We start from the raw sequence: 25,975 nt of genomic DNA, 5'->3' as shown, positions 1-25,975 counted from the left end.
GGGGAGGAGGAGGTTGCAGTGAGCTGAGATCACGCCACTGCACCCCAGCCTGGGCAACAGAGTGAGACTCCGTATCCAAAAGAAAAAAAAAAGACAATTATTACTATTCCTAAGGAGAAATTGATGGATAGTGCGTGATGATTACTATCATGACAGATTCTGAGATATTGACTCCAACCTGTTTTGAAATTTTTATTTATTAAAATATGTTCAAAACTGCAATTCAAATTCAAAAGTTTACTCTTGATGTTGTGAATAGCATTATTAAACTCCATGCCCCAGCTACCCACGTAACAACAAATAGAAAAATAATGATGGCAGCTGTTTTTATCCAAATTTGTAGTCTTGCATGTGCTGACTTTATTTTTTCATAATAGAAAATAATATTTTCTCTATAATACATGATAGAATATTATGTGTATTAATTAAAATCTTTGACATGACAATAATCTGACTAGGTCAAGAACATATCTTGGCCAGGCGCGGTGGCTCAAGCCTGTAATCTCAGCAATTTGGGAGGCCAAGGCAGGTGGATCACGAGGTCAGGAGATTGAGACCATCCTGGCTGACACGGTGAAACCCCATCTCTACCAAAAATAAAAAAAATTAGCTGGGCGTGGTGGTGGGCACCTGTAGTCCCGAGCTACTCAGGAGGCTGAGGCAGGAGAATGGTGTGAAACCGGGAGGCGGAGCTTGCAGTGAGCCAAGATCATGCCACTGCACTCCAGTCTGGGTGACAGAGCGAGACTCCATCTCAAAGATAAAAATAAAAATGAAAAAAAGAAAGAAAGAAAGAACATATCTCAATTAGCATCTTACTATGAAGTTAGTCATCTTTGACTCTCTATGCCGAATGATTGCATAAAATAAGGAAAACACATAAAATTCTTTGACAATAGTTCAGCCTTGTTTCCCTCTACTGTACCAAACTTAGAAAGCACACTAATTTAAGAAAAAAAAAAAAAGACACAACACAATTAGTAGGGTAGAAAAAAATTGTCGTAATCACTGTGGATGTCCAGCTTTGAATAGAACTGAAATTTGCTAAGTTTCTAATATGTGCTAAGTACTCTGTATAATTATCTAATGACAATAAATTAGAAGTGAATGTTATAGTCACTCTCACTAGGGGAAGAACAGGTTTACCTGTTTATCTAAGGTCACACACCTGGCTCATTAAATCCAGGTGGATTAATTCCAAAGTACTTGCACCCTCCAAGACACTAAATAGTGACTCAAGTTGGTACAGAGTTGAGCAATGGAAGATGACTCCTCCAATTAGTGTTTCAAGCAAACAATGCAACAACAGCAATATCCTCTGAGGCACAGATATATGAAAAGAATTTGAAAATCCCCACTCCCCCTACAATCAACCCAATGGTCCCCTCTCCTCTGCTTGATACCCAAGACCCTGCAGGAAGGATGTTATGCATGTGCAGATTCTCCGATTCTTTTCCCCTTAAAGGCTTCCCCATTGCTTTTTTTTTTTTTTTTTTTTCGGAGTCTCTTTCTGTCACCCAGGCTGGAGCTGGAGTGCAGTGGCACGATCTTGGCTCACTGCAACCTCTGCCTCCTGAGTTCAAGCGAATCTCGTGCCTCAGCCTCCCAAGTAGCCAGGACTACAGGCGCATGCCACCACACCCGGCTAATTTTTCTGTATTTTTAACAGAGACGGGCTTTCGTCAGGTTGCCCAGGCTGGTCTCGAACTCCTGACCTCAGGTGATCTGCCCGCCTCGGTCTCCCAAAGTGCTGGGATTACAGGCGTGAGCCACCATGCCCCACCTCCCCAGTGCTCATTTTTAAGCTGACTGTAATCTGCAAAATTTGTAGCACAAGTTTCCTGCCTCAAGAATACTAGCACATTGGGTCCTGGAACAGATAAAATGAGCTATCTATTTGGATTTTTCTTCTTTCATTTGTGAAATATAAATAATAAATCTCACACAGAACTGTAAAATGAAGAATCATAAACAGACCATAGTGTCTTTTACAGAAAGAGTCTTTTGGTGCTAAATATTTGTCTCTGCTATTTAACTTGGCTGTACCTATTAAAAGCAAATGTAAGATTAGCATAAGAAAAAACGGGCAATTAAACATTGCAAATAACTTTTGTGTTATGACTTGCAACAAACCAAGTATTTGTAAGAAATTTCATGTAGCCAAAATGTATAATTTTGAACTAGTATTAATGTAAAATAAATCTTATACAGTATGCTAATTTATTTGCTCACATTATATCACATTAGTAAAATGAATTAATTTGACTTACAGAAAACTCGATGACATCTTAATAAAATGTATCTCAGAAAATGAGGACATTATTAAATATGAAGTACCATTGTCAAGTAACAGTCACTTTAACATATTGTCACTAAGAGACTGTTCTCTCTTCCTCTAATGGACATTAGAGCTTTATGCTGGTAATGAAAAGGAAATTTGTATAGTATGTCATTCAAAGAATAATATTCTGAAAAGCATTTGGAAAATTTTTCAAAATATTTTTACTATTTTCCATCAGTCAGTTAAATATTTTCAATCTTGTCTCTTGAATTATATATATAATAAATATCCAAAATAATCTTGCATATGTGTGCACAGATGTGTGCAAAATCTTGTTACTTCTAGTCTTTTTGGCTTGAGACACCAAGGTGATTAAAAAACAGGAAAAATACATGTATGAGAAATCTTAATAACAGAAAATAAAATAATCTCCTATATCTCACTAGTTATTCCTTTTATGAGCACAGATTATATGCTCTGCTGTTATCTCCTCCCACCATAAGTCTGAGGCCAGAGAGATTCAGTTCTTGACTATCATCTGGGCTTGGACATCGGTCTAGGAACTAGAAACACTGTACTTAGAGTTTTCCACCATTCAGGTTTTGTTTGTTTGTTTGTTTGTTTCTACCAAATAATTCAATTGGAAAATTCAACCAGAATTCTAAACAAAGATCATTTTTTAAAAGAATTATTTAATGACTCTCCAGGTAAACTTCTAAACAAATGCACTGAGTAATTAAATGAAAAGTAGGCAACAATTCACAGGCATATGATGATGGTGGAAATTCATTTTAGGAGCTGGAAGAATCTCTTAGCTCAATTCACCTGGGTCAGCATTCTTATACTCTGTTGCCATCTTGGCTGACTCCATACGCCATTACGCAAGAGCTCACCCTGGTACTTTAGCTCGTATTCATTTGGAACTCTCTCTCTTCTGCAACTTCCCTTGCCCACATTTTCCTGCATACTCTTCCATGGACTTTATTTCTCTTGCCTCTTTGCTCAGCTCCTGAAATCTACTATGAATAATGTATATAGGGGACACTGGATGCCTTCACTGGTTTTCTGTGCTGAGCTCTCTCCAACACAAAATTTACTATTTTGTTTTCTGATAGCATCCAAATTACAGTTTGTGCACTTCTTAAAAGCCTGGTCATCTGAACTTTGCCCCCTGACTGACAGTCTTTCTGCGTAGTGAAAAGAAACCATTTCCCTTGGTTTATTGTAGTTCTTGCAGAAAGTCAGGAGTAGGGTCACCCCTCTTTTCCTGCCCTCAAAGGAAAAGAATAACCTTCCAAAAAATCTTTGCTTCTGTGGTGCATTAATTTTTTACACTTTTAAACATCCTCTAGTTGCAGAAATGGGATATCAGAAATTATAGCGGTTAGCAGAAGTGTTGCACTGGTCCTTTGAAAAGTTCACTCCTGAAACATATGGGTATTTGAATTTCACCAAGACATTTGACAAAACCTTTCAGTTTAAACTGGTAAAATGGTGAAATGTGGACTTCATACTCTTTAATGACTTTCAATTTTAGTTTTTCTATCATTCATCCAAACTGGTGGATTGATTTCCACCGTGAGTGACATTTATAATTTATGATAGGGGACTCCGTCTAGCCCAGTCCTATTCAGCATTTTTATTAATGATTTGAATTAGGATAAAGAAAGAATACTTAGAATAGTCAAGAAAACACAAGGAAAACATATCTTAAAGTTTACATTATGAACTGACTCTACTAAAATAAATTTGTGAGATGGATTTATATAAAATATTACAGCTAGTAAGTTATTAGCTATTTCTTCATTTGTGTGGATTTCCAAAATTTTTCATTACATTTAAAAATAAATTATTGGTGCTAACAGTTGTTGACCAGTGAAATACATTATTTGAGGGGTATTTTTGAGAATCAGCTATAGCTCTGAACTCAGACTGCTTGAGTGTTGATTCTGAACTCAATTCTCACCAGTTATGTGACTTTATTTAAGTTACATAACTTCTCTGTGCCTTTGGGGATAACAATAGTGTTTATCTTATACAATTCCTGAGAGAAAAAAATAATAAAATAAATGCACAGCATTGGAGCAATGCCTGACAGATGGTATGAGCTCTGTAAGTCCCAGTGATTATTATTATCTTTACTTATTATCTTTTCTAAATATCTTTGCATCTGGACTATGTTTTCTTCTATATTCTGGCTTAAATTTTATCTTCAATAAAAATGGTGTGGTGAGAGAAATCCTCTGTTAACTGCAACTCCTTTTTAATTTTTATCTGAATGTAGGTTTACGTAGCCACACAGTACTGAAGAATTAGGAAGTTTCCTTAAAAGACATGGCTCACACTTCATCACTGTGCAAAGAAATGAACAATTCAAGAAAAAAATTAGATTAAATCCTGAAATTAAATCCCAGGTTTTAAAAAATGCTAGTAAAAATGGATCTACATGCCTTGCTATTAAGATCTAATATTCTCCCAAATATGTAGTAATGAAGGTTGGAAAGACATCCCTTAGGCATTCTCATGAAATGATCTGTATAAACAGCTTAAATAGACAGTGTGATTAAGGCCCCCTCAATAACATCAAAATCACCTCCAACTTAATTCTACTCATTCAAAGAAAGAAATTACTTCATTTCTAACTGAATACAAGATTCCTTTTTAAAGTAACGATTGGCAAACAATATTATTTGGCTTTGATATGAAATAAACCTAAATGTACTTTGAGGGTTATTAAATCACTGGGATCTTCAATACCAAGACGAATAAGAAGATACAATTGCTTCATTTTCTTCATGCTTTCCCCTGTGGACTGAATGTTCTGATCTTATTTACAAAGTGATTTTTTGTATTGGAAAGGTAATTTTAAAAATCATGCTTTTACCAGAAAGGACTGGGAATGAAAGTTAATATGGTAAAAGAAAAAAAAATGAGCCAGAGTAATACATTCTATTTCCATTTCACCCATTTCTTGTCCCTCACATGAGTGGAAAAAAATGGATATTTACATTGAATTTTTGAGAGTTTGACATGTTCTTAACTAAATACATCTTCAATAGAACATTTTCAAAATTCTCTTATAAACATCTCTCTATGAGCATTTTCCAAGGAACAGAAGAAGTCTATTTTTAACAAAGTCTGTAAGCTCTGCCAGAAGGAGACGCTTTGCCTCTTGGAGGAAGCCGCTTCACTGAGCACCCAGCAGTCATGAATCATTCCCCTTCAATACACAAGCTGTGCTCCTGAAGTTTACCAAAGGTATGTGAAGAACTTTAAATATCTGAAGAACATGGGATATGACTACGTTTATATTATATAAGTACAAGATAATAATATTTTTGAACGTTGACTTGATTTCTGATCCAAACAAAACAAAACTGAAACAGCCCTTTAAATTACGCACACATCACAATCTTTCCTCAAGCTATCTCAGTATTTCAATCCACCATCAGATGCCTTAAATATTATATACTGCTTCTAACTACTACACCATCATTCATTCCTCTACATTACCACAAGCCGAATTTTTATTTATGTATGATTCTCATCACTCTACTATAACTTCTTTTGGGTAAAATAACACCTCCCAATATAAATCACTTTTTCCAAGGAATGCTTATACACTGTTGGTGGCAGTGTAAATTAGTTCAATGATTGTGGAAAGCAGTGTGGTGATTCCTCAAAGAGCAAAAAACAGAAGTACCATTTAATCCAGAAATTCTATTACTGGGAATATAACCAAAGGAATATAAATCGTTCTATCATAAGGACACAGGCATGCATCTGTTCATTGCAGCACTATTAATAATAGCAAAGACATAGAATCAACCTAAATGCACATCAAGGGTATACCAGATAAAGAAAGTGTGGTACTTATACACCATGGAATACTATGCAGCTATACAAAATAACAAGATCATGTCCTTTGAAGAACTATGGAAGGAGCTGGAGGTTATTATCCTTAGCAAACTAACACAGGAACAGAAAACCAAACACTGCATGTCCTCATTTGTAAGTGCGAACTAAATGATGAAAACACATGGACACATAGAGGGGAACAACAGACCCAGGGGCCTACCAGAGGGTGGAGGGTGGCAGGAGAGAGAGGATCAGAAAAAATAACCAATGGGTACTAGACTTAATACCTGGATGATAAAATAATGTGTACAACAAACCCCTGTGACATGAGTTTACCTATATAACAAACCTGCACATGAGTTTGCCTATGTAACAAACCTGCACGAGTTTACCTATATAACAAGTCTGCACATGAGTTTACCTATATAACAAACGTGCACATGAGTTTACCTATATAACAAACCTGCACATGAGTTTACCTATATAACAAATCTGCACATGAATTTATCTGTATAACAAACCTGCACATGAGTTTACCTATGTAACAAACCTGCACATGAGTTTACCTATATAACAAACCTGCACATGAGTTTACCTATATAACAAACCTGCACATGAGCTTACCTATATAACAAACCCGCACATGAGTTTACCTATGTAACAAACCTGCACATGAGCTTACCTATATAACACACCTACACATGAGTTTACCTATATAACAAACCTGCACTTGTACCCCTGAACCTAAAATAAAAGTTTAAGAAATTACTTTTTCCTCTTCTTCCTCCTTATTCTATTTGTCCATTCAGCAGCCAAACATCACACTATTCCTTCCTTGAACATCACCTGCCTTCTGTCTTTCCAATCCTCTTTCACCTCATTTTAGACTTCCTTCTTGCAGCTTCCCCTAACACTCTTCTTTTCCTAAAGATGTGCTTTTCCCCTATTTTCGTCTCACTTCTACCCAATTTTCACTTTTTATATAAATCTTTTCAACAGTGTTCTATAATCAGAAAATGTACATATCTGAAATTTTTTCTGAACTCTAAAAAGGTATTTTAAACTATGTCTAAAGCCTCCATAGTTGACTAGACTGGAGTCAACTAAACTCAACATCTAACCCTCCAAAATCCTCTTCAGTGTTATTTGTTCCTATCTTAGTTCATAGGATCACTGCTATGTCCAGTTAGAAATCCATACATCATTGTTGAAATCAGTGTTCTCTCACCACTACAAAACATCTACAAATTCTTTAATTCTATTAACAAGATGGTTTTTATTCTAATCCATTCTCAATATCTCTCTCATTGTTCTGGTTCATTATCCCTCATTTGGTCTATCATAATAACTTCCTTACTAGCTTTATGTTCTCAAGAACTTTGAGGGTTGACAGTCAATAGCTCCTTCTCAAACATTTTCTTGCCTACCAATGTCATCCGCTATGAAAGTTTACTGGAGTTTTCTTATTTGTGCTAAATAAGATATTGTATCCTTAAATCCTCCTTTAGAATGGAGAAAGGCCAAGTCACTTTGAATACTTTGAATTATATATTATTAACACTTTTTTATATACTTGTTATTAATGATGTGATGGTGGTGGGAAGTATCATCAAAACTTATCCTTTTGGATACTCGGATATTCACTGATGAGCTTTTGGCCCCTTTCTCGCCCTAAGCAGAAATGAGATGGATTATTATGCAGAGGCCTTTAACTTCTGAGTTTGAAAATCCCACTTCCGAATTCCAGATATGCCACCCTAGTTTAAAGAAGAAATAACAGCTTGGACATTAAAAGTTTATCAAATTCTGTAATCCCAGCACTTTGGGAGGCTGAGGTGGGCAGATCACTTGAGGCTAGGAGTTTGAGACCAGCCTGACCAATGTGGTGAAACCCCATCTCTACTAAAAATACAATAATTAGCTAGGTGTGGTGGTGTGCACCTGTAATCCCAGCTATTTGGGAGCCTGAAGCAGGAGAATTGCTTGAATCTGGGAGGTGGAGGCTGCGATGAGCCAAGATCATGCCTCTGCACTCCAGCCTGGGTGACTGAATGAGAATGTGACTCAAAAAAAAAAAAAAGTTTATCAACTCCAGTCAAATGTGCTTTCACGAATTGCCCTCCTCCCATCGCTACCACCATATCCCAAAGCTACCCACGGGAAGAGGAAGAGAGCTGACAGAGCAGGGTTTGCAAACCAGCCTTTGAGAAGAGAACAAGAACCATATGGGAAGTACCTTCTCACTCAAGATGGACCAAAAAACACTTAAGGAAATTACACTGGAATTTGAAGGTATTTCTGGAAATAGGAGATGACAATAACTTCTCCTCTAGGCTTTGTTGCACATGAATGATGGAGCATAGAAATTGTCAAAGAAGTAGAGCTTGAAAGGGGAGTATGAGGAGAAGGGTGAATGGATGTGAGTGGAATCTTCATTAGATGAGCCAAGGGAAAAAAGATGGAGAACCTCTCTGATGTCACAAAGTATGACTGAGGGTGGGAAGTGCTGAAGGGAAACAAGAGCCAGTGCAAGGTAGAATGCTGCAAGTGGTGTGCCTGGCCCCGCTAAGTACAGGAGTCTGCACAGCTAGGGATGAGAGGTCAACTGCACAGCACCATGGACAGCAAATATCATAGCACCATTAACAGCAGAAATGAGTGTAGCATGGAAGCAGAAATCATATGGGACCTAGGAGTGTGTGTGTGCATGTGTGTCAGAGAAGGACAAGGAGGGGGACAGAGAAAGAGAGAAAAATAAAATTCTTTGTAGGTTGCTTGCAAAAGCTACTCATAAGTCTTACTGTGATACCAAGTGACCCAGAGGGAGTGTAGTGGACCGCACTTATACAGAATTTAAAATTTGAATTAACTGAGCCTATATCTTGCACGGGCTGAATATTCTCCTGAAAAAAGGCATATTTTCAAAAGGAAGTAACTAGAGTATTAGTGTCAAAATATGGTATTTTAGCTAAAGAGAATTATCAGGAGTAATTATAACTCAAAAAGCTGTTTTTAAAAAGAGTAATGCATGCTATTAGGGAAAAATTCCCTCCTATACACACTGATAAGATACTAACATTGACTTAATGCTCAAGGTCCCACGTTCCTCTACTTCACTGCCATCCTCTTCCCTGCCTCCCACCACCTGTTATAGGAAACACGACTGGTTACCTATTTCCCTTTCTGCTCATCCCTAGCCCAAGGCTATTGTTCCCCTTTGGCTTCCTTGGATAAGAAGTTTCCCTATCCATTTTGCTGACTCTCTCTCACTAAGCCTAGAAGATGCATATTATTTGTCGATTCTCTGGGGAAGCATCTCAGACCAAACCCAGGTTGAGTCATGCTTTCTCTTAGGGCTCCACTAATACCCCATGCACATCTCTATGGCTGTCCTTGCCAGGCTTCATTAAAGCCTACAGATTCCATGTTGGTTTCCCGCAGTGCTTTGAGCTCCTGTGGACAATTATGGCTCTCCTACACATGTATGTGTCTATTTCACTGAGCATGATGCCTGACATATAATAGATGACCAATAAATATTTAATTCAACAAATGGGTAGAAGTAATGTCTATTATCAAAAAGACAACAGATTATAACTGTTGGCAAGGATGTGGAAAAAGGGAACCCTGGTAAACCGTTGATAGAAATGTAAATTAGTACATCTATTATGAAAAATAATATAGGGGTTCCCTCAAAAAATTAAAAATAGAAATACCATATGATTCAGCAATCCCATTTCTGGGTATATATTCAAAGGAACTGAAATCAGTATGTCAAGGAGATGTCTGCACTCCCATGTTTATTGCAGCATAATTCATAATAGCCAAGATGTGAAATGAGCCTAAGTGCTCATCAACAGATGAATGAACAAAGAAAATATTATACATACATACATAGACACACACATACACACACAAACACACGCACACACTGGAATGCTATTCAGCTTTTTAAGAAAAGATCCTGTCATTTATGATAATGCGTATGAACCTGGACGGCATATGCTAAGTGAAATAAGCCAGTCACAGGAAGAGAAATACTGCATGGGTCAGGGTTAGAGTTAGAATTAAGGTCAGGGTTAGGGTTAGGGTTAGGGTTAGCCTGAATATCTACATGCAGAAGAGTGAAATTGGACCATTATCTCACACTTATGGAATCTACATGCAAAAGAGTGAAAATGGACCATTATCTCACACTTGTGGAATCTAAAAAAGTTGGACCAATAGAAACAGAAAGTAGAATGGTAGTTGCCAGGGGCTGGGGAGAGAAAAGGAAAAGAAAATGGGGAGATGTTAGTTAAAGAGTACAGTTTCAGTTAGACAGGATAGAGAAATTCTGTAGATCTATTGTACCAGTATGGTGACTATAGTTAATAATAAGGCAATACATGATTTTAAAATGCTAGGAGATTAAGTCTTCAATGCTCTCAACACTAAAATAGTATGAGGTGATAGGTATGTTAATTAGATTGACTTAATCATTTTACAATGTGTACATATAACAAAATATCATGTACACTGTAAATATATACAATTTTTTTCAATTACACCTTAATAAACCTGAGGGAAGAAAGGAAATAAAAATAAAATGTTTATGAATAAATTTAACCAAGGAGGTAAAATACCCACACACTAAAAATTACAAAATATTGATTAATAAAATTGAAGAAAACACAGATAAACAAAAAGCTATCCCATGTTTATGAACCAAAATAATTGATATTGTTAAAATTTTCATACTACCCAAAGCAATCTAAAGATTTGATGCAATCTCTACCAAAATTCCAATGGCATTATTCACAGAAATAGAAAAAAAAATAAAATTAATGTGTAGTCATAAAAGACCCTGAATAGCCAAAGAAATCTTTATGAAGAAGAACAAAGTTGCTGGTACATCATGCTGCCTGACTTCAAAATATAGTACAAAATTGTAGCAATCAAAATAGTATGGTACTGGCATAAATACAGACATAGAACGATGGAACAGAATAGAAAGTCCAGAAATAAATTTAAATTACACGTTTGTGGTCAATTTATCTTGGACAAAGGTGCCAAAACTACACAATGAGAAAAGGATAGTCTCTTCAGTGAATGGTGGGAAAACTGAATATCTACATGCAAAAGAATGAAATTGTACCATTATCCCATACAATATACAAAATCAACTCAAAATATATTAAATATTTAAATGTGAGACTTGACATTCTCTCTAGTAGGAGAAAACAGAGATGAAAAGCTCATAACATTGGTCTTGGCACAGACTTTATGTATATGACCCCAAAGCACAGGCAACAAAAGTAAAAGTAGACAAAACTACCAAATTTAAAAGCTTCTGCAGAGCAAAGGAAACAATCAACAGAGTAAGAGACAACCTACAGTATGCATAAGAATATTTACAAGTCAGGGATCTGATGAAGAGTTAATACCCAAAACATGTAGGAAACTCAAACAACTCAATAGCAAGAAAACAAACAGCCAGAATAAAAAATGAGCAAAGGATTTGGGAATAGATATTTCTCAAAAGAACACATACAAGTGATCAACAAGCATCTGAAAAATTGTTCAACATCACTAATCATTAGAAAAATGCAAATTAAAACCACAATAAGATATCATCTCACACCTTTTAGAATGGCTATTACTGAAAAGATAACAAGTGTGGAGGGAAAGGAGCCCTTTTACACTGCTGGTGGGAATGTCAATTGATACAGACATTAGAGAAGACAGCATGGATGTGTGTCAAAATTTTAAAAATAGAACTGTCATATGACCCAGCAATCCCACTCCTGGGTATATATGCAAAGGAAATAAATTTGGTATGTCAAAGAGTTATCTCTATTCCTACGTTCACTGCAACATTATTCACAATAGCCAAGACATGAGGATACTGTAAATGTCCGTGTATGGATAAATGGAGAAAGAAATTGTGATGTATACATATCATGGTATATTAATCAGCCTTAATAAAGAAGAAAATTCTGTCATTTGCAACATCATGAATGAACCTGGAGGACATTATGTTGAGCGAAGTAAGCCAGGCACAGAAAGACAAATATTGCATGATCTCACTCATATGTGGAATCTAAAAAACCTAAAGTACTAATATGTATTATGACATGGATGAAACTCAAATACATTATACTGTGTGAAAGAAGTCAGACACATAAGGTTCAAAGTGTATGATTCATTTATACGAAATACCCAGAATAGGCAAATCTACAGAGACGGAAAGCATTGGCAGTTGCCAGGACTGTGGGGAGGTGGGAATGACAAGTAATAATTGCTTAAATGGTGCAGGGTTTCCTTTTGAGATGATAAAAATAGGAACCAGATGGTGGTGTAGGTTGCACAATATTGTGAATGTACTAAACGCTATTGAATTGTACACTTTAAAATGGCTGAAATGGTGGATTTGATCTAAACAAAGAAAGTTATTTTATCATATGTATGTTTTGTTAATCTTAATTACTCACATAATAATATGTTGTGAACATCTTTCCATGACATTAAATAATCTTATGAAATATTTAAAAATTTTAAATTTTATAATTTTTTTAAACTGAACTCATAGAAGCAGAGAGTACTATGGTAGTTGCCACAGTATGGAGGGTGGTAGAAACAGAGGTCTAAAGTTTCAGTTTTAAAGAAGAAATAAGTTCTGGAGATCTAATGTACAGCATCGTGACTACATGTAATAAACTGTATTGTATACTCAAAATAAGAGAGTAAGAGTAGATCTTAAATGTTCTCACCACACACACACACACACACACACACACACACACACACAAATGGTAACCATGTAAGGTGGTGAATATGTTGATTAGCTTGATTGTGGTAATTATTTCACAATGTATCCATATATCAAAACATCAGGTTGTAGATTTTAAGCATCTTCACTTTGTCGTTGTCAAGCATGCCTCAGGAAATCTGGGAAAAAACTTAAAAATAGATGGATAAATGAATATTGAATTTTAGTATCCTGATGATAGGATACTAAAACGCATCATCAATGGGATTATGTTTAGCAAACACAAAATACATTTCTTGGACCTCAAAAATTGTCCACCATAGTCTTATTAATATATAATTCTTTGTTTTTACTATTATTACTAGTTCATCAACTTTACACATTGATATTCTTATGGAGTGGTTTATTGCCACACCATGTCATTTAGTTTACAGAAAAACAGTGAGCAAAGTGAAACAACCCATCCCTGAAAGGGCTTCATAAATATTGGCACACTCAGAGCAGAGTTATCATTATAAGAGATTACTGGAGATAGAATAATAGATCCAAATTAAGGGCAACTTCAATTTCTATACAGCTAGACTCTAAATCTCAACAATATGTACTGTTATGTCGACTTAGGTGCTATTAGAAGGAGACTGATTTTCAAAGTTTAGTCTTACTGCTGAGGGGGAAAAAGGTAATGATTTTTTTAATTGTGTGGAAACTTAGGGCAAAGTAACTTCATTTATCTCAACAATTTTAGTGAAGGGTTTGTGTCTCAGGCTACTTTGTAAAGGTAAATAGCAATGTGGATTACATTCAAGACAAAAAACAGAAGAGATAAGAGACGATCTTCCTCATTATTGAGGCTCATGACTAGAACAGAACATTGGTAACTTACTAAAAATCCCACCAAGACTTATTTTTAAGGAGCCTCAAATGATTTACCAATTGAAAATGTAACTAATAATGTGAAAGAAAGTGGGAGAAATAAATACTGATTGTAGCCATAAGATTAAATTCCACCTCCAAATGTCTTTTTTCCTTACCTATGTCTTACATAAGTTGCTTTCTCAGACAGCAAAAAAAAAAAAAAGGTCAATTTGTTTAATGCAGGCATCAGAGTGTTTCTTTCAATCATTTATTTATTTATTTATTTATTTATTTATTTATTTATTTATTTATTTATTTCCAGACAGAGTCTTGCTCTGTAGCCAGGTTAGAGTGCAGTGGCACAATCTCGGCTCACTGCAACCTCCGCCTCCTGGGTTCAAGCGACTCTCCTGCCTCAGCCTCTGAGTAGCTGGGACTACAGGCATGCGCCACCACGCCTGGCTAATTTTTGTATTTTTAGTAGAGACAGAGTTTCACCATGTTGGCCAGGATGGTCTTGATCTCCCGACCTCGTGATCTGCCTGCCTCGACCTCCCAAAGCACTGGGATTACAGGCATGAACCACCGCGCTCAGCCTGAGTGTTGATATTTTTAAGGAAAACATGTGTTGGTTCCTTAGTTATGTAGGCAATCGTCTCGAATATTGTGTATATTTCCATTTGCCAAGACGTTTGGACAGAGCTAGTGCATCTCAAACTGAAGTTGCAGGTTGTTTGCCCTGAGTCTACTGTAGAACCTGAACAGGCACCAAGAGCCAGACAGAACCAAGAACATTTCATTACCAAGAAGAAGGAAGGTATGATAGAGTGCTATAACCAGCATGACTCAGAGAAGAGTTTGTTTCATTCTTGGTACTGAGGTTTAAAAGTACTGGATTGAGTTGTTTTCCCAAACTATTTTCCTAACCATTTAAACAGCACTGTCTTATCATAAATCATGCTGGCTTAGGGCCAGTAACATATGGCCTTTATAGGATTTCCCTTTTGAGTTAGATAAACACATTATTTTGTAGCAATAAAATTTAAGTCATGATTATAGCCTATAAAAACATACAGACTTTAGAGAAAAATGAATAAAAAAGAAAAGATGGATTGGGTATAAAATTCACAGTGACTGCATACACAGTGACTTAGACATGTTCATTAAATATAATCATGGTATAATTTGTTTCTTAATGAAGTAATAGAAGCGCTGATAAAAGAAAAATGGGCGAGATGAGAGTGGGGATGTTATTCAGGTCATATATGCATAACCAAACAGACAGATCTCATCTGTGCATGAGGGAATGGCAGCTCTGTAACAGAATCATGTACAAAATTACCGAAAGAATATTTTCTTCTTTTTTTTTTTTGCCACTTTCAAAAAGTGACTGGTTCCTTTAATTTCAGCAAAGCAACCATTCATAAAGTTTGTATTTCTCTTTTGTAGAGAGGCAGAATCATAAAACATAACTCATCAAACCAATTCAAATGAATTATTTAACAGAAATTGTTAAAAGTGAAGAAATAGGCCGGGTGCAGTGGCTTGTGCCTGTAGTCACAGCTACTTGGGAGGCCAACAGGAGAAACACTTGAGCCTAGGAGTTTGAATGTAGCTTAGACAACTTAGTAATATTAATAACCCATCTAGGAAGGAAGGAAGAAAGGAAAGAAGGGAGGAATGGAGGGAGGGGGGAAGGGAGAGGGAGAGAGGGAGGTATTTCATCCAAGTGAAGAACAGAGAAGTAGAATAATCTAATACAGTAATATTGGTAAGCTTCAGCACAGTCATAAGGGTAAATAATTTTTATTTGGCTAAAAACAAAATAAAAATCTCTAGGATTGTATCTTAAAAAGGGATATTTGCTTGTTAATTATTTAGAAGTTCTTATGAAAAATGAGTCAGTCTACTTTAAAAAAAAAAAACTTTATTTGACCATCAATGATAGACTGCATAAAGAAAATGTGGCACATAAACACTATGGAATACTATGCAGCCATAAAAAAGATGAGTTCATGTCCTTTGCAGAGACATGGATGAAGCTGGAAACCATCATTCTCAGCAAACTAACACAGGAACAGAAAACCAAATACTGCATGTTCTCACTCATAAGAGGGAGTTGAACAGTGAGAACATATCAACACAGGGAGGGGAACGTCATGCACCAGGGCCTGTCAAGGGGTGGGAGGCTAGGGGAGGGAGAGCATTAGGAGAAATACCTAATGTAGATGACGGGTTGATGAGTGCAGCAAACCACCATGGCACGTGTATACCTATGTAACAAAACTGCACATTCTGCACATGTACCCCAGGACTTAAAATATAATTTAAAAAAAGGAAAAAAATTCAAAAAATAATCATCCCAAAATCTCAATATCCAGGTATCATTACTGTTGTTAGTGATACATTTATACACAATGTAAGTACATTTGCAAATAAGATATCATAGTAATGCACTACAAGAAATGACTTCCAACTCTTTTCACTTAATACTATATAATGGCCTTATTTAAAAATCAATACAAATAGATCTATCTGCTTTTTTCCAAACTGCTAGTGATATCAATAGTAATTTATTTAACTACTGTCCTCTTAATGGAACATTTAGATGAGTCTAACATATTGGTACCACTAACTGTATTCTAATAGATATCTTCTTAAATGCTTACATTGTATGTGCACTTTAAATTTTGAGAAATTGTCAAATCAGCAACGTGTTTGAGAATATTTGTTTCCCACATTTTGTCATCACTGAGAACCTTGAATTACTTTAATCTTTGCAAATTTGATAGGCAAAAAGGTAATTGTTTTCATCGACATATATTATTAAGGACATCAATGATCTTTTCAGCTAATTTTAGGGATCCCTCTGACAAATCTTCTGTTGATTTGGTCATCATTTTCCTTATTTTGCAAGGTATTCTTTATATGCTATAGATATATGTATTACAGATCATTTATGGGGTACATGAAACTCTATAAGGAAGGATACTGTTAGAAACGAAACGTATGTGTGCTCCCAAAACCATAGGGCTGAAGCCCCAACCCTGAGTGTGGATGCACTTGGAGTAAGGAAGCCGCTAAGGTTAAACGAGATCATATGGGTGAGGCTCTGATCTGATGGAATGAGTGTCCTTATAAGAAGAGACCAGAGAGCCATTCCTCTCCCTCCACCTGCATGCACAGAGGAAAGGCCATGTGAGAATATAGTGAAATGATGAACATCTGCAAGCCAGGAAGAAGCCCTCACAGGAGACCAAATCAGCCAGAATCTTGATTGTGGACTTTTAGCCTCCAGAACTGTGAGAAAATAAATTTCTGTTGTTTAAGTCAACTAGCCTATGATATTTTGTTATGGCAGCACAAGCAGACTGACAGTTATCATTAATGTCCCTACTTCACAACAAATAAAACACAAAGCCTAAAAAATTAAACAAATACTTCCTCAAGGTCACCCAGCAGTATGTGTTGGATACAAGATCCCACCCCTGAGTTTCTGACTACCAGTAGGCATTTCTATCACCTCAAGCATCAATCTATTATTTCAGACCACTGAGATCTTTGTGGTGCATAATTCAGTCCACTTTTGCTTTTTCCCTAAAATTAATATGTTAGTTTTCTGTGTTGCATAACACACTACCACACACTTAGCAGCTTAAAACTAAACTCCTTTATTGGCTGATAGTTTTTGTAGGTTAAAAGTCCAATCACAGTTTACCTGGGTTCTTTACTTCAGGATCACACCAGCTAAAATCCAGGTATCATCCAGGGCTATGGTCTCATCAGAGGCTCAAATGTGGAAAGATCTGTTTCCAAGCCCTCTCAGGATATTGATGTAATTCATCTCCTTGCAGTGATAGGACTGGGGTTTCTGTTTTCTTCCTTTTTTGTTGTTGTTGTTAAATTTTTTATTTTTTCCAATTTTATTAAAGTATAATTGACAAATAAAATTGTATATATTTAAGGCGTACATGATGTCTTGATATATATGTATATTTTGTGAAATGAGTACCACCATCGAGTTAGTTAACACATCCATCACTTTACATAGTTACATGTGTGTGATGAGAAAACTTAAGATCCATTCTCTTAGCACATTTCAAGTATACAATATAGTATTATTAACCATAGTGACTAAACTGTACATTAGATCCTAGAATTTACCTTCTAACTGAAAACCTGTACTATCTGACCAACACCTTCCCACTTCCCCCAACCCCTCAGTCCCTGACAACCACCGTTCTACTCTCTGTTTCTATGAGTTTGCCTTTTTTGAACCCCACATATAAGAGAAATCTTATGGTATTTATCTTTCTCTGTTTGACTTATTTTACTGAGCAAAATGCCCTTTAGATTCATCCATGTTGTCACAAATGACAGGATTTCCTTCTTTTTGTGGCTGAATAATATGCCAGTGTATGTGTGTGATATTTTCTTTATCCAGTCATCCACTGACAGACACTTACATTGTTTCAATGTCTTGGATATTGTGAATAATGCTGCAATGAACGTGGGCGTGCAACTATCTCTTCAAAATGCTGATTTTGTTTCTTCTGGGTGTATACCCAGAAGTGGGTTTGTTGGATCATATGGTAATTATATTTTTAACTTTTAAAAGAATCTCCATACTGTTTAATATAATGGCTGTATTAATTTATGTTCTCACCAGTGGTGCACAAGGGTTCCCTTTTCTCCATATCCTACTCAAAGCAATCTATAGATTCAGTGCAATCTGTTTTTTCTCTGTCAACTAAGGGTACTTCTCAGCTTCTTGAAGTCACCATGGTTTCTTGTTACATAGCCCTCTCCATAGACTTTATCACAAAATGGCAGTTTAATTCTTCAAAACCAGTGCTGACGTTTCTGTTCCTACAAAGAACTCAGTTTCCCCTTTGAAGGCCTTCATCTGATTAAGTCAGGCCCACCCAAGAATATTTCCCTTTTTATTAACTCAAAAGAAACTGATGTGAGGCCTTAATGACATCTGCAAAAATATCCTTTCATCTTTTCCATATTCTATTGGTCAGAAGTAACTCACAGGTTCCACCCATGCTTAAGGGGATGATTATACAGGTGTGAACACAAGGGGGCAGGAATCATGGGGACTGCCCTGGGGTCCACCAACCACAGTGAGAATCATGTGTTTGTCCTTAACTCTAAAATCCATGTTCTTTTCCAGTAACTGCTGACAATCTGTCCTGTGGAATTTTAGGGGCAGAGGAGATGCTGGTCAGCCAGAGGATACAGGGGAAGAACAGAAAAGGCATAACAAGAGGGAAGAAGAGGTGACTGGAGAAAGAGAGACATATTCACGCCACAGTGAGCAGAAGAGTTACACTGGAGCAATGGCTTTATATAAGAAGAGAAGTTTTAGCTCTCTCTTGTCCCATATCCAGCTTACTATGTAAGAAAATTACACAAGTTTTTTTCAATTTCATTTTTTCTCTATGTCAGTGAGACACCCAGTTTTTCTTGTCAATGACAGCTCCCTCATGGTGTCCCTCATCCTTTGTGCCTCAACTAAAATGACAAATTCCACTCTCCCACATCAGTTTGTTTCTTCCTCACTTATACTTAGAAGAATAGACCTCATAATTTTAACTCAGAGTTCAGCTGACTCTCTCCTGTCCCTTAAGATTAGTGTGTGTCCCTAAAACTGTAACCTGGGGTAGTAGAGAACCTTCTCCAATGTCTGCACAGTCACTAAGGGCTTCCTTCTTGGGTCCCTTCTGGCTGAAGGCTCCTTTGAGCTTTTCTGGATTCTACTTTCTATCACATCACCTTCTGCCAGTGCCTTTCCACACATCATTCTGAGGTTACCAAATCTAAGGGCTACTTTAAAAGACAGAGGTAAAGTTTTAAATATACAGATGGAAGGTGTTTTCACATGACAAAAATGTAAACCATTTGTTTCTAAACATGAAGAACCTCTTAAGATTTTAGTTAGCTTCCCACTACCACTACCAACAGCCCTCACACAATATGATCTCACTGGGTCTTTTTTTTTTTCCATGTCTCTCTCACTTATAGTTTTTCTCTTATTTGGTATAGGAAAGAAAACAATAAAAAGTCATCTGATTTCCTCATACTGAGTAGCTCCCCATGTGATTCGGGTGTTGTGGGTACTCATGTCCTGGTGACTGTACCTCCCAGCTCAAGCTGCCAATCACGGTATTTTCCCTAAAATGTTCCCTTCCCAAAATGGAAACCTCATGTTCGTTGTCAAGATAATAAAAGTTGCACATTAGCGGCACATTTATAATCTTGCTAAATCAGAGGTCCTAGAGGATACTTACTTAATTTGTCTTATTCATTTTGAGAATACCCAGTCCCCTGCCATGAGTCTAACAAGCCTTCAATATGCAGATTGCATTGAGCATTGGAAAGATATATTGAAACTTAGCAAGTTTACATAGAAAATACTATTCAAGCGCAACCTGTGTTTCTTGTTAATTTGCAGGAATTTATGCTTTCTTCTGTTTGCTGGACTTCAGAAACATGGAACTTGAATATTGTATAATAAAATACAGCACCGTATTATATCAAACTACACACTCCTAGACCTACCATTTCAAATACACTGCATCGTGCACCTCCAAATACACCATGTATACACTACATTTACCACTCCAACTGTTTTACATGCCATGCCAAATACCACATCCCAACAGCACACACAACACCCATGTCCACCATGTCCATCACAACATACTGCACCACAGTGCATAATGCACACTATACCATAACCCACCACACACCCCATACCCTATACCTACTATCCCCAACAGAACGTATTACACCACCCACACAACAGAACATGCTATACAATGCCACTTCCAATATATCATGTACCAAATCGCATCATACCACATAGCGCACCGTCCCACAATTACCATCACAATACACCACACCGAACATACACAAATATAAATATGTGGTTCTGGTTCAATCCTGAGTGAAAACAGGGAATGTTAAAAATTTAAAGATGACTCAGTCCTCTATTAGAATGAAACATCATAGAATACTGACCTATATAAAAATTAACATGGACTCCATGGAGAAATATGTATGTCCAGACTTATAAAACACATGAATACTTATAAGGAAAACTGTAGCTATATAGGGAAAGCAGAAAGCTGGGATGTGAGAAGGAAAAGGAAAGTTGAGTCCCGATAATTTGTGAATGATCCAGAGTGACTCTTAAGATAATATGTTGGTCTGTCCCTCAATCACTTTTCTCTGACCAGATAGAATTTGTCACACAATGTAAATATTAACTTGTTTATTTCCCAGCCTACTCTGTGAGGACACAAATCAACATCCTTGCTTTTTATTTTCTCAGAATATTACACAGCACCTGGCACATAGCAGGCATTCAAACAGTTTTTATTGAATCACTCCCTTGAACAGAGGGATTAACTTACTATTACTGAAGTTACAAAAGCAAAATTTCAAGATACATCTACTCTAAGGAAGTCTCTAAAATTAAATAATACTGTTAGGGGACTTTTGAAGCCCTTGCTCCCTCATTCATTTTCATCCCCTTTCAAATTTCATGGGAAATTTTAGAGCATTCAATTTCAAACAGAATTGTGTAACAGATTTCAAATTAAATAAAAGTAGATTTCCCTATGATTTAAAAGTGGAGTAAGTTTCTAATCAATTATGCTTATATTTCGCTTGGCTTGTCCTTCACAGCATAGAATTTCTAATGGTGTATAAAGTTGGGAAAACCATAAACAGTCTCTCTGCCATATGCTATCGTTTTCTTTAATTACAGTCTTATTTGGTTTCTTAATGAAGTAAAAATAAAATCCAATATATAAATGTTATGACATTTAGGGATATCTAATTCATGTTCTCGTCCTGTGATTGATTTTCCTTGATGAAGAATTAGAGTGGGTTAAGGCCTTTAGAACCAAATATATTCTAAGCTTCTCAACACATCAGTTTCCAAATAATTGTCTTTTATTTTTTTCAAAGCCATTGAGGTACAGAGCTTTATAGCTCCTGTGAGGCCATCTTTCTGAACATAGGTATCTTCATGAAAATGCAATTAATGTAATTCATCATGCACTCGAATTTGAAAAAGACTGATCCAAACTGCCCATTAACTCTGAAGGAAACCACAGTGATTCTTATTTATCATGAAAATATTTTTTCTATCACCTCATTGTGCTCATTTTTATGAGTTAATGGAAAATGAGATGGTAAATATTATAAACAAAAATATCTTTAGTATATCCTAAGATTTGCAATGCACATTGACTAATATTAAATAGTGATTGTAATTAATTTGCTTTGAACAATCATATATTAGAATATAGACTTAAGAAAGGGGCAGAGCACGATGGCAGAATAGGACTCTCCAGCATTCATCCCCTGTAGGGACCAGCCCCACAGGGTCAGTGAGTCTCTCCCCATGTGTGGCGACGAGAGAGTGTAGAAATAAAAACACAAGACAAAGAGATAAAAGAAAAGACAGCTGGGCCCGGGGGACCACTACCACCAATGCGCAGAGACCGGTAGTGGCCCCGAATGTCTGGCTGCGCTGTTATTTATTGGATACAAAGCAAAAGGGGGCAGGGTAAAGAGTGTGAGTCATCTCCAATGATAGGTAAGTTCACATGGGTCACGTGTCCACTGGACATGGGGCCCTTCCCCGCCTGGCAGCCAAGGCAGAGAGAGAGAGAGGAGACAGAGAGAAAGACAGCTTACGCCATTATTTCTGCATATCAGAGACTTTTAGTACTTTTACTAATTTACTACTGCTATCTAGAAGGCAGAGCCAGGTGTACAGGATGGAACATGAAGGTGGACTAGGAGCGTGACCACTGAAGCACAGCATCACAGGGAGACGGTTAGGCCTCCGGATAACTGCGGGCAAGTCTGACTGATGTCAGGCCCTCCACAAGAGGTGGAGGAACAGAGTCTTCTCTAAACTCCCCCGGGGAAAGGGAGCCTCCCTTTCCTGGTCTGCTAAGTAGCGGGTGTTGTTCCTTGACACTTTTCGCTACTGCTAGACCACGGTCCGCCTGACAACGGGCATCTTCCCAGACGCTGGCATCACCGCCAGACCAAGGAACCCTTCTGGTGGCCCTGTCTGGGCATAACAGAAGGCTCGCACTCTTGTCTTCTGGTCACTCCTCACTGTGTCCCCTCAGCTCCTATCTCTGTATGGCCTGGTTTCTCCTAGGTTATGATTATAGATCAAGAATTATTATAATATTGGAATAAAGAGTAATTGCTACCAACTAATGATTAATGATATTCATATATAATCATATCTAAGATCTATATCTGGTATAACTATTCTTGTTTTATATTTTATTATACTGGAACAGCTCGTGTCCTTGGTCTCTTGCCTCGGCGCTTGGGTGGCTTGCCGCCCACAATCCCCCGACAGAAACATCAATTTTGACAACGATTTACACACAAAAACACCACCACAAAAGCTAAGGGAACCAAATAACCAGGTAAGAGATCACAGAACCTGGGAATAGCACAGAAATAAGAAAAGATACATTGAAGAGGCTGGAAATGACAGTTTCCATTACCTATGTTGCCTTTTTCCCAACCCAAGGCAGTACAGTGTAGAGAGAGATAACCTCTGCATGAGAGAAAGAGAGGGAAGTCAGCCAGGACTTTGCCTTAGACTCCAACACTGGGCCCACCACAGTAAAAGCCAGCACCAGATAGACCCCCATAGCCCCAGAATACAGGCTGGTACCCATGAACTGAGGCTCCAGATCAGCCCCAGTGCCAGACTTCAGGCCTCTGCAGTGGACTCAATCTCAGTCTACACCACTGTGAGGCTGACTTCAGTTGCCCTAGACTATGAACAGCCCTCAGTAGCAGGCTGGCCACAGTGGTTCTGAGCTTCAGGCTAGTCTCAGTGGCCCCAGGCTTCACGCCAGCTCCAGTGGCACCAGGCTTCAGATTCACCCCAGCACAAGACTGGCCCTGAGAACATGGGCTTTAGGCCTGTCCCCAGGAATATAAGCTATAGGTTTACCCTAGCAGACCCAATCAACCATCCGAGTGAATTCGGGCACCAAGACAGCCAGCCCAAGGGCTCCAGCAGCAAGTCTTCCCATGGACCATGGCAGATGCCCTGCCAGAATCTTGAGATAGGCTGATTATTGAAGTGCTTTCCCAGAAAAAGTAAGTCTTCAAAAACCAGAATAAGTATCTACCTCTTCGTATGTGCTGACATTGACACATAGCCACAAGGATCAAGTATGATGAAGGAAATATGACATTACCAAATTGACAAAATAAAGTTCCAGTGATCAACCTTAAAGAAATGGAGATGTATGAACTGCCTGACAAAGAATTTAAATGGCTGCTTTAAGGAAGTTCAGGGAACGTCAAGAAAATAGAGAAACAATTCAGCAAAATGTAGAAAATAAGAAATGGCCAAAACAAGAAATTTAACAGAGAGATTGAAATAATTTTAAAAAGCTAAGCAGAAAATTTGGAGATGAAAAATAGAATGAACAAAATAAAAACGAAATAGAGCACATCAATAGCAAAATTAATGAAGCAGAAAGAATCTGTGAACTTAAAAAACGGGTTATTTGAAGGTACACAAACAGAGGAGAAAAAAGAAAAGGAATTAAGAAGCTTATGAGATCTTATGCAACAGCATCAAAAGAACAAATTTGGGGTCACAATATTTCAAGAAAGCAAAGAGAAAAAAAGGAGTAGAAAGCTTGCTTAAAGAAATTATATTAGAAAACTTTCCAAACCTGGAGAAAAGATATAAATATCCATGGGCAGGAAGGTCAAAGATCTCCAATTAGATCCAATCCAAAAAAGACTACACCAAGACATGTTATAATCCAACTATATAAAATCAAAGACAAAAAGAGGATCCTGAAACACAAGAAAAGAAGCAAGTTACATATAAAGGAGTGTCAATATGACTAGCAGTGGATATCTCAGCAGAAATCTACTGAGAACAGACCAGGGAAGAGTGGGATGATATATTTAAAGTGCTGAAGAAAAAAAAAACTCCCAACTAAGAATACTGTATCCAGCAAAGCTTTCCTTCAGAAATGAAGGAGAGATAAAGATTTTCCCAGCCAAATAAAGGCTGAGAGAATTCATTCCCAAAAGACTTGTCTTACAAGAAATTCCAAAAAAGGTTTTTCAAGCTGAAAGAAAAGGATGCTAATTAGTAACATTAAACCATAAAAGTATAAAACTCACTGGTAAAAATAATTACAAAGTCAAATTCAGAATATTCTAATACTGTAATGGTGGTATGTAAATCACTTACTTCTTTGGTTTGAAGGTTAAAATAAAAACTATTGACATAATAACTGCAATAATTTGTTCAGGGGTATGCAATATAAAAAGATATAAATTGTGATATCAAATATATAAATTGTATGGAGAGTGGTAGAGTAAATGTATTGAGATTTTTTATCTGATCATTAAGTTATCACCCTAAAATAACCAGTTATAACTACACAGTGTTTTATGTAATCCTCATGGTAACCACAAGTCAAAAACCTATAGCAGACACACAAATGATAAAAGTAAGGAATCAAAGAATACCGTTAAAGAAAATCACCTAATTGTAAGGAAAGATAGCAAAAGGAAAGGAACAAAAAATCTATAAAACAAACAGGAAACAATTACCAAATTGACAATATTGAGTCCTTACTGATCAATAATTACCTTGAATGTAAACGAATTAAATTGTATAATCAAAAGGCAGAGTGGCTGAATGGATTAAAAAAAACAAGATCCAAATATTTTCTGCCTAAAAGAGACTCACCTTAACTGCTGGACAAACAGACTGGAAGTGAAAGGATAGAGAAAGATGTTTTATGCAAACTAAAACCTAAAGAGAACAAATGTAATTATACTTATGTCAGATAAAATGGGCTTTAAGTCAAAAACTGTAAAAGAGACAAAGACATTATATTGATTATAAACTAAAGGTATCAATACATCAAGAGGATATAACAATTATAAATATATATGCACCCAATATCAGAATGACTAAATATGTAAGGCAAATAGTAATAGACCTGAAAGGAGAGATAGACTGTAATACAGTAATGGTAGAAGACCTGAATACCCCATTTTCAGCAATGGATAGATCATCCAGACAGAAAATCAATAATAAAACCTCAACTTAAGCTACACTTTAGGCCAAATGGTCCTAACAGACATATCTAGAACATTCCATCCAACAACAGAATACACATTTTCCT

The 25,975-nt window shown here is 36.8% G+C and overlaps 1 long non-coding RNA gene across 1 annotated transcript in view; it reads left to right on the top strand.

Annotated features, from left to right (window-relative positions):
* The first annotated feature begins 5,379 nt into the window (after positions 1 to 5,379).
* LOC105371349 (uncharacterized) overlaps positions 5,380 to 25,975 on the top strand; it is a 57,270-nt gene continuing 36,674 nt past the window's right edge. The window contains exons 1-3 of the long non-coding RNA XR_933750.3: positions 5,380 to 5,539; positions 18,958 to 19,149; positions 23,090 to 23,221. This is a non-coding gene — a long non-coding RNA (uncharacterized LOC105371349). The remainder of the gene's footprint in view (positions 5,540 to 18,957; positions 19,150 to 23,089; positions 23,222 to 25,975) is intronic.

This window comes from Homo sapiens, chromosome 16 (assembly GCF_000001405.40).
Source record: "Homo sapiens chromosome 16, GRCh38.p14 Primary Assembly".
Classification (NCBI taxonomy): Eukaryota; Metazoa; Chordata; class Mammalia; order Primates; family Hominidae; genus Homo; species Homo sapiens.
This window is presented reverse-complemented; position numbering and strand designations above follow the sequence as displayed.